Source organism: Homo sapiens, chromosome 16, assembly GCF_000001405.40.
Source record: "Homo sapiens chromosome 16, GRCh38.p14 Primary Assembly".
Taxonomy (NCBI): Eukaryota; Metazoa; Chordata; class Mammalia; order Primates; family Hominidae; genus Homo; species Homo sapiens.
Genome location: NC_000016.10, coordinates 68,151,392 through 68,162,229, shown reverse-complemented (window position 1 = coordinate 68,162,229; position 10,838 = coordinate 68,151,392). Strand labels below are relative to the sequence as shown.

The window sequence follows — 10,838 nt, the reverse complement described above, 5'->3', positions numbered from 1 at the left end:
ATCCTAGTTGCCCCTTATTTAATCCTTTCTCCAATATACATAACGCTTGGGTCCTACAGAACTCCTGTTCCACAATCTACCAGTACAGAGCAGATAGAATGGTCAAGAAGTTTTAGGTATGTGTGTGGTAGGGTTGCAGGAGGAGGACTACCTGTATGTTACTAGTCATAGTGGTATTTCTGCAGCCTGGTCCTTTCTGGTCTAAAATACACAGTACATGCTAGATCTGGTTGAGGAAGGGACATAAATTATGACTATTACCCTTGTTCCATGTGCTAGTAAATGGAAGATGATGGAGGAGACAGGTAAATTTAGATCCTACTGCTCCAATGCTTTCATATTATTTGGGATATGAGCCTTTCCCAATTTCTTGATAATTTTTCATAGAAATTAATATACTCTTTTCTATTTATTGGTTTATATATTATTTTCAGAAAGGATATGAGGCATTTTACAATATAGATACAAATAAAGCCAAGAAAAAATAAATAGAAAAAATTTTAAAACACTAGGAAGTAAACTCCAAGTCTAGAGTTGTACAAATTACTATAATTACTGTAAACGGGCTTGACTATGAAGTTCTGGAAGCCAAGGCAAAAAGTAAATGTGATAAAGTTGTTATAGGCCACGTGTTGTACGGTAAAGCAAAATCTACCATGCCATCGGGAAACACTAACTTTTTTCCTTTAAGTTGAAAGGACTGTGTTTGTGTGTGCATGCACACACGCATGCAATAGTGATCAACCTAAGAGAAACTGTCTTTAATAGTGGTTTTTCAGATTATGAAGTATGTTCATGGCTATTTCTCATACTGTCCCTCAAGCCAAGTTAAGTAACAGAATAAACTTGTGATTTTTCTATTTAACTTGATTCGAATATTGTGCTTTGAATATCCAGAGGAATGAATGCAAACATGGCCTGCAAACTATCGTCTAGGGATCAATTTCCTGAGTTTTTGGAAAAAGACAGTTCAAAGGTGATTTTTAAATTTCCCTCTACAGCTGACTAATCACATATCACATGCTTCTGATGCTATATAAAAAAGTAAGATCCCAGAACAAAAGGGAAGAAGCCTACTTGTATTCTCATTCAGAGGTTGGGCATGTTAACCTTATTTGAAAATGTGTCCAATAGGATGCCTGGTGTCAATATTTTTCCTCAAGAAAGTTTTGCTCGAGTATCTGAATAAATACAGGCTGAGATTCCAAAGTTCTTTCTACATTATAGAACACAAATGTTTAAGGCCGTTGCAGTGGCTCACATCTAGATGTAATCCCAGCACTTTGGGAGGCTAAAGCGGGTGGACTGCTTGAGGCCAGGAGGTCGAGACCAGCCTGGTCAACATGGCAAAACCCTGTCTCTACTAAAAATACAAAAATTAGCCAGGAGTGGTGGTGCACGTGTGCAATCTCAGCTACTTGGGTGGCTGAAGCACGAGAATCACTTGAGCCTGGGAGGCAGAGGTTGTAGTGAGCTAAGATGGTGACACTGCACTCCAGCCTGGGCAACAAATTTAGACAGTCTAAAAAAAAAAAATTTAAGAGTAGAGATTATCAGCTAGCTGTCTGCCTTTGCTGTGAAAAAACTCTGTCATAGCCCCTATGCAATGATTTGCTGGGTTAGGTTCTTGAGTACTGTCCATCTGAACCAAAGCAGGCAAAAATTTTATTTAAATTTATATTTATTTAAAGATTTTATTTAAATTTATATTAACTTTTCTTTTCTGGTAGTAATTAACAGAATAAGGTTTTTTGTTTTTTGTTTTGAGACTAAGTCTCACTCTGTCGCCCAGGCTGGAGTGCAATGGCGCAATCTGGGGTCACTACAACCTCTGCCTCCTGGATTCAAGCGATTCTCAAGCCTCAGCCTCCTGAGCAGCTGGGACTACAGACAGGACAACTATGCCCAGCTAATTTTTCTATTTTTTAGTAGAGTTGGGGGTTTCACCATATTGGCCACGCTGGTCTCGAACTCCTGACCCTCAAGTGATCTGCCCAAAATAAGTTATGTATTGAGGCAACTCTTATTTTACCTAATAGAAACATATCAGTTTCTATGTCCTCAGGGAGTACACTCAGCTCATCTAAAAAGTTTATTTAAATATAAATTTAAATGAAGAGAGCTCAAGACTGAAATCTGATTTTTTGGGGTTTCTTTTTCTTTTTGAGTCGGAGTTTCGCTCTTGATGCAATGGAGTGATCTCAGCCCACTGCAGCCTCCACCTCTGGGGTTCAAGCAATTCTCCTGCCTCAGCCTCCTGAGTAGCTGGGATTACAGACACCCGCCACCACACCCAGGTAATTTTTTGTATTTTTAGCAGAGACGGGTTTCACCATGTTGGCCAGGCTGGTCTCAAACTCCTGGTCTCAGGTAATCCGCCCACCTCGGCCTCCCAAAGTGCTGGGATAATAGGTGTGAGCCACTGCGCCCAGCTGAAATCTGTTTTATAGGACTGTTCTTGCAATAGCCTGGGATGGATGTTATTCCTGCCTTAAGAAAGGTCTGTGGGCCAGGCTCAGTGGCTCACGCCTGTAATCCCAGCACTTCAGGAGGCCGAGGTGGGTGGATCACGAGGTCAGGAGATCAAGACCATCCTGGCTAACACGGTGAAACCCCATCTCTACTAAAAATACAAAAAAATTAGCCGGGCGTGGTGGCAGGTGCCTCTAGTCCCAGCTACTCAGGAGGCTGGGGCAGGAGAATGGCATCAACCCAGGAGGCGGAGCTTGCGTGAGCCGAGATTGCACCACTGCACTCCAACCTGGGCCACAGAGCGAGACTCCATCTTGAAAAAAATAAATAAAAATATAAAAAAAAAAAAAAAAGAAAGAAAGGTCTATAGTGTAGTTTGAAACAATTTCTGTAATAAAAATCTAAGTTTCCCATGTCTGGTTGTGCCTACTACCCACTGATAGGTGCCTGCCTACTCAATATCCTTTCTTTTCTTCTTCCTCAGTAACAGGCCCCTACATTGCTTTGTTTGTTTTTTGTTTTTAAAGATAGGATCTCACTCTTGCCCAGGCTGGAGTGTAGTGGCAGTGGCACTATCTCGACTAACTGCCACCTCTGCCTCCCGGGCAAGTGATCCTCCTACCTCAGTCTCCCAAGTAGCTGGGACTACAGACAGGCGCAACCGCACTCGGCTAATTTCTGTAATTTTAGTAGAGACAAGGTTTCGCCATGTTGCTCAGGCTGGTCTGAAATTCCTGAGCTCAGGTGATCCGCCTGCCTTGGCCTCCCAAAATACTGGGATTACAGGCATGAGCCATGGTGCTCGGCCTCCCTAAATTATTTGAGGTGACAATGTGTTCTGGTAAACATAACCATGTGTTCCTTACATATAAGCATGATCAATGAGATGTAGAGTTGTTAAGTAGGTTTTAGGAAAAGGTTCTTAAAAGAGGATTTGACTCCAATGGAAGTTCCCTTTTACCCTTCCTCCACACCTTTCTCCTTATTACCCCTCTGGTAATAAGGATGTCATGGCTAGAGCTCCAGCAGCCATTTTAGATCATAAGACAATCTTTAGGATGGAAACCACATGCTAAAGACGGCAAAGAAGAAAAAACTTGCTTGGGGCCCTAATGACTTATGCAGCTACTGTGCTAGCCCTAAAATATCTATCTGTATATTTCGTTTATGTGATAAAACACTAAACCCCTAACTGTTCAAGCCACTGCATATCAGGTTTCTATTACAGGCAACTATATATAATCCTTTTGTACAAAACTCTATTGCATTCTCATTCAGAAGTTGGCCACCTCATCTTATTTGGAAATGGGTCAAGTGGGATGCCTGGAGGTAAAGTCAAAAGTTTTCCTTAAGGAAATAGAACAATCATAATTGTATCATAATTGTTTATTTATTGTCTACCCTATTAGATAGACTGTGAGCCATTTGATGAAAGTCCAGATACAGTATTTATATCCCTATCACCTAGGATAATGGCTTGGCTGGTAATATATAGTATAAAAACACTTACTGAATTGAATTTTCCTTCTGGAAATATGCTACCACTCTTAGAAAATGTACTAAATGTACATTATTTACATAATGCCATTTAGAACAATATTTTATATTTATATTCAAAAATATATTTACTTTTTTTCTGAAAGTATAGAGAAAAAAAGAACTGCACATTTTAGGTATATTTCAAAATACCTGGCTGACATATTATTTTCAGGAAGAAGTGGAATTTCCAGAACTTTTGTACTGGCAATTATTATCTCTTGGCTTGCAGTAGCGACTGTCTTCCCAGTGATTCGATGCACCTGGTAAAATGCATGAGGTCGTAAATATCGATCATCTGCTGTCCCAATAAACATTTGTAGATTTATTGGCTTTTCGTTATAGCCCAGGAGCTAATCAGGAAAAAGAAACACAGAAAAGCACAATTCATTATCCATGCATTTTACAATATGCCAACAATAGTAAGTCTATTATATCTCTATCATATACTATTGACACACAAAATGTTATTTCAAAAAATACAACCAAAAGTAACCAGTGAGCAGCCCTCCAAATTTCCAAATTAGTTTAAGAAATAAAACACTGGAATACGTTACATAAAGGAATGTGGGTTTGGTTTTGTTTTTTTAAGATAAATATCTAGATCGACCAAAACTGTACAAAGCTTTCTGACTCTGCTGTAGAAAACACAAAAGAAATACTGATTCTGTACTCTGGGCAACATTAACCATTCAGACCAGACCTAAAGATTTGGGTATATAGGAAGGTCCTCTAACAGACTGTTAAATCGGAGACACTTTTAGTAGAAAGAGTCTGAAAACCCCTATTCCATATATTATAAACTTACAATTTTATAAGTATAAACTTACAGACCCCAAGCAGCCTAGCTAAGGCTAAAACTGAAATGAGATTTTGAGCTGCCACCAACCACAGGGAGACAAGTTTTCCAGGCTGACTCCAACCAAGTTAAATGCCTATTTAAGCAAACAATTTCAACAATCTTCGGGAAAGAGAAAGAGGGAGAGAGGGAGAGAAGGAGAAGGAGAGAGAGACAGAGACAGAGAGAGAGAATGTGTTTGTGCCTTTGTTTTCTATGCCTTTTTTTTTTTCTTTTATATTGCCTAATTGCTCTGGCTAGGACTTCTAGCATAAGGCTGAATCGCAGTAGTGAAAGCAGGCATCCTTGTCTTGTTCCTGATGTTAGAGGGAAACCTTTCAGTCTTTAACCATTAAGTATGATATTAGGTGTGAGTTTTTCAAGAATCCTCTTAATCACACTAAGTTTCCCTCTATTTTCAGTTTGCTTTGTTTTGCCTTTTTTTGAGACAGTGTCTCGCTCTGTCACCCAGGCTGGAGTATAGTGGTACGATCTCTGCTCAGTGCAACCTCTGCCTCCTGGGTTCAAGCGATTTTCCTGCCTCAGCCTCCCGAGTAGCTGGGATTACAGGCACCCACCAACATGCCCGGCTAATTTTTGTATTTTTAGTACAGATGGGGTTTCACCATGCTGGCCAGGGCGATCTGAACTCCTGACCTCAGGTGATCTGCCCGCCTCGACCTCCCAAAGTGCTGAGATTACAGGTGTGAGTGACTGTGCCCGGCTGTTTTGCTTTTTTTAAATCATGAAAGGCTGCTGAATTTTGTCAAAGGTTTTTTTCTCTATCAACTGAGATGACCACATGGTTTTTCTCTTCATTCTACTAATGTAGTAAATTACACAGATTAATTTTCATATGTTGAACCACTCTTGCTTTCCTGGGATAGATCCCACTTGATCATGGTGTATAAACTTTTGTAGTGTGCTGATGGATTTGGTTGCTAAGCATTTTGTTGAAGATTGTTGCATGTATATTCATGAAGGATATCGGTTTGCAGTTTTCTTCTCTTGTATCTTTGTCCCCATCATTATCCATTTGTTTTTGTTTTTGTTGTTGTTGTTGTTTTTGAGACGAAGTCTCGCTCTTGTCCCCCAGGCTGGAGTGCAGTGACACGATCTCAGCCCACTGCAACCTCTGCCCCCCAGGGTCAAGCGATTCTCCTGCCTCAGCCTCCCGAGAAGCTGGGATTGATTACAGACTCCTGCCACCACACTCGGCTAATTTTTGTATTTTTAGTAGAGACGAGATTTCACCATGTTGGCCAGGCTGGTCTCAAACTCCTGACCTCAGGCGATCCACCCCTCTCCCAAAGTGCTGGGATTACAGGCATGAGTCAATGCACCCAGCCAATCCATTTGACTTAAAATAAAAAACTGTCTCTGCCCTAATGAAAGTCCTCCATCTCTTCATGTATACGGAATCCACCTTTTCCTCAAGGTAATTCAGGATTTTTATTATAGTAATTCTAAAGTATCTTTCCAATATCTAATCTAAGCCTTCTCTCAGTCTGCTACCATTGAGTGTTTTCTCTCTTTAATGTGGGCCACATTTTCTTGTGTGTGTGTGTATGGTTGTTTATTGTTTTAATGGACATTTAGTATAAAAAAAGTCTAGAGACTCAAGCAGAAAATATTTACCTACAGAAAGGGGCATGCTATTTCTTTTGTAAGGTCACAGCTCTTAAACTGTGTCTGAAGCTATAGTCTGATTCAGTATAGCACTGGCTTTAAAGGCCTGGCGGGTGGAATGTCTCTCTCTTCTGCCTGGCGAGGGAATCTGAGAGCTGGCCAGATTCCAGAGATCTACCTATGCTTCATAACCAAGTCTCCGGTCCTTGAAACTGTTGGAAGACCTTCCTCTGATTTACCACCTGGCTGATAATTTTTTAATCTATGAGGAGTTCTCTATGCTCTTCAGTCTTGCTCTTTATTTCTGAGCCTCAGGGCATCTCTTCAGCTATGTTACTAGATCTTGGGTCTTTTGAGATTGGCTTGGAGAGACTTCTTTCAGCTCTCCTGATAATACTTCAGTCTTTGTAAATGACAGCCTAAGTGCCTAAGGGTTTCTGCCTTCAGTAGGTAAAACTATGAAGTGAGGGGGGTCTCAGTTCTCCTGCCATGCCTCCTCTTCCTTGGTATAGTAGCCTCCTTGTATTTGGTGGAGTCTTACAGGTGAGTTTTATTCCCGCCTACTTGTCCAGCCTTGGCTTTACAGTGGAACTTGTAACCAGCGAACTTCATAATTTATTGGTTATCCTCCCTGTACCCAGAAGAAGACATTAAGACTTTTGCCTATTATTAGGTAATACAATTTTACCCAGGATAGTTTTCAGTCCTGTAACATTTATAAAGAAGCAATTAAAGCCTGGACTATTGCAATAGCCTTATAACTGCTCTCTGTCTTCCCTCTTGTTGCCCTATAGTCCATTCTCTATCCAAGAGTCAGAATAAACTTGTTAACATGAATTGGATAACTTTGGCTCCCCTGCTCAGAACTCTCTAATGGCTTCCCTCCACATTTAGAACTAATTCAAATTCCCTATGATGGTTTACACAGCATAAGGTGATTAGGGCCCTGGCTGAACTGTTGGCCTTACCCTTTCCACAGTCTGCTCTAGCCTTGCTGGCCTTATTGCATGAACCACTCAAGCTCACTCCTAATGTCAGGGCTTTCACACTTAATATTTTATCCCTCTGAAATATCATTCCCTCTGATCTTCATGTTACTTGACTTGATTCAGATACGTAAAGGTCAGTTCCCTGAGAGGAGACTGCAATATTTAAAATATAATATCTGAGTCTCCTTATCTTGTGCTTGTCTACATCCTATACTAAGAATAAATTCCTGCCCTTTCAGGAGCTTCAGGTAAGCATATGATAAAAATCAATTAAGCCTCTATGAAAGAGAACGGATGAAATCATGGAAACAAGTTAAGAGGGCTGAGGCACTTAAATCATGGGTGCTGAAAGTTTAAACTAGGGTGGAGGCAGGATCATAAATAGAAAATAGAAATGGAAAGGGATGAATGCAATAAATCTTTCCTAGAAGGCCCTAAAGAGATTTTCGTAACTAACTATACACAGAATGATAGAGGGATCCAATAAGTCAGATCTGAGCTTCAGTACCCAGGAGAATGATGGTATCACTAGGAAACAAAGTATAAGGCTGGCCATCATGGCTCACACCAGTAATCTCAACACTTTGGGAGGCTGAGGCGGGAGGACTGCTTGAGGCCAGGAGTTCAAGACCAGCAACACAATGAGACCCCCATCTCCACATTACACACACACACGCACACACTAGCTGAGCATGGTGGTGTGCTCCTGTAGTCCTAGCTACTTAGAAGGCTGAGGTGGGAGGGCTGCCTGATCCCAGGAGTTCAAGGTTACAGTGAGCTATGATTATGCCACTAAACTCCAGCCTGGGTGACAGAGTGTGAGACCTTGTCTCTTAAAAAAATAATAATGTGGGCCGGGCACGGTGGCTCACACCTGTAATCCCAAGCACTTTGGGAGGCCAAGGCAGGCAGATCACGAGGTCAGGAGATCGAGACCATCCTGGCTAACACGGTGAAACTCCATCTCTACTAAAAACACAAAAAATTAGCCGGGCATGGTGGCAGGTGCCTGTAGTCCCAGCTACTTGGGAGGCTGAGGCAGGAGAATGGAGTGAACCCAGGAGGTGGAGCTTGCAGTGAGCTGAGATCGGGCCACTGTACTCCAGCTTGGGCGACAGAGCGAGACTCTGTCTCAAAAAATAAAAATAATAATAATAATGTGAAGAAGTCACTGATTTTGGAAAAAGATTAATGTTGTCAATGCTGGTCACACTGTAGTCGAGGTAACAGTGAGACATCTATATGGAAATGTGAGGCTACATAAGATGTATATGCTTTTAGCCTAGCCATAATGCTGTAGCACAATAAACACAATGCTTTGCTATCTAACTTTTTCTTTTTTGGGGGATGGAGTCTCACTCTGTCACCCAGGCTGGAGTGCAATGGCGCAATCCTGGCTCACTGCAACCTCTGCCTCCTGGGTTCAAGCGATTCTCCTGACTCAGCCTTCCAAGTAGCTGGGACTACAGGTGTGCACCATCATCCCCGGCTAAATTTTTGCATTTTTAGTAGAGACGGGGTTTCACCATGTTGGCCATGCTGGTCTTGAACTTCTGGCCTCAGGTGATCCACCTGCCCTGGCCTCAGGTGATCCACCTGCCTTGGCTTCCCAAAGTGCTGAGATTACAGGCGTGAGCCACGGTACCCAGTTTGCTATCTAATTTGATAACAAGATAACACACAGTCCACTGTGCCTCAAAAGAATGACATTCGATATCTGCTTTTTCTTGTTTTGACATGATGAGTATGTACTGATTATTATTTTTTTAAAGTCCCAATGCAGCAATACTTGTGGCACTTGAAACACTATTGAGTTTTAACTGCATCACTGTGATTTATACTGCCCTGAGCGGTAGTGTGAAGTGATGAGAGTGCCACTTATGTTCTCTTGTCTTACTCAACTCTGTCACTGTAACACAAAAGTAACCAGTCAATACATAAATGAAAAACAATCATTATGGATGGTTACTTTGGAATTCCACATAAGTTTCACATCAGAAAATAGTATTCTTTTGATTTTTTCTCCACCCATGTAAAAATGTATAAAAACCACTCCTAGTTCACAAGCTGTACAAAAACAGGTAGAGCCAGACGTGAAGGCATGCACCTGTAGTCCCAGCTACCTGAAAGACTGAGGCAGGAGGATCATTCCTGCCTCTGAGGCCAGTTCAAGGCTGCAGTGAGCTATGATTGCACGACTACACTCCAGCCTGGGTGACAGAGCAAGGCTCTTTCTCTTTAAAAACAAAACACCAGGTGTAGGGCCCATTTTGGCCTATAAAAGCCATAGTTTGATAACCCCTGGTCTAGAATGGTATTTCCTTCTCTTCCGAGCAAATGCTTTAATACCCAGTAGAATGGTACTTTTTTTTTTTTTTTTTTTTTTTGAGACAGAGTCTCGCTCTGTTGCCCAGGCTGCAGTGCTGTGGCGTGATCTTGGCTCACTGCAACATTTGCTTCCCCAGTTCAAGCGATTCTCCTGTCTCAGCCTCCCTAGTAGCTGGGACTGCAGGCACATACTACCATGCCCAGCTAATTTTTTTTTTTTTTTTTTTTGGTATCTTTAGTAGAGATGGCGTTTCACCATGTTGGCCAGGCTGGTCTTGAACTCCTGACCTCAAGTGATCCGTCCACCTTGGCCTCTCAAAGTGCTGGGATTATAGGCGTGAGCCACTGCACCCAGCCTTTTTTTTTTTTTTTTGAAACGGAGCCTCACTTACTTAGGTTAGAGTGCAGTGGCGCCATCCAGGCTCACTGGAACCTCTGCCTCCCGGGTTCAAGTGATTCTCCTGCCTCAGCCTTCCAAGTAACTGGGATTACAGGTGCCTGCCACCACGCCCAGCTAACTTTTGTATTTTTAGTAGAGACGGGGTTTCACCATGTCAGCCAGGCTCGTCTCGAACTTCTGGCCTCCGGTGATCCACCTGCCTCGGCCTCCCAAAGTGCTGGGATTACAGGCGTGAGCCACTGTGCCCGACTTAGAATGGTATTTCTTAACTTGGACAGTATCACCCTCTGCAGGGGAGGGTGGTGGTGGAGCAGAGGCATTTTTTAAATGTTGTGAAGATGCGTTTAGTTGTCAACATGATAAGTGGGGTGCACTACAGATACTTAAGGAGAAAGGGCCAGAGATTCAACTTTATCTCAATACATGGGATAACTATAGTTCTTCAAAGTGAATAGTCTACATCTCACAGAATTTGAGAATATCCCATCAGACATTCATGTATAAGGAAAATGTTTATAAACTTAGAACTCCTTAGTATATATTAATACCCCCAAAAGATGCAATTTTAAGATACATGAATTTTTCATGAGTACAACTTACCATGTAAAGAGTTCATCATTTCAAAAAATCATGTCATTGTCAGTAA

The 10,838-nt window shown here is 41.8% G+C and overlaps 1 protein-coding gene across 3 annotated transcripts in view; it reads right to left on the bottom strand.

Annotated features, from left to right (window-relative positions):
- Positions 1–10,838, bottom strand: part of NFATC3 (nuclear factor of activated T cells 3) — a 143,890-nt gene that overhangs the window by 67,030 nt on the left and 66,022 nt on the right. For all 3 annotated transcript variants that reach the window (NM_004555.4, NM_173163.3, NM_173165.3), the window contains exon 4: positions 4,162–4,361. In NM_004555.4, coding sequence (NP_004546.1) covers positions 4,162–4,361 — 200 coding nt within the window. The remainder of the gene's footprint in view (positions 1–4,161; positions 4,362–10,838) is intronic.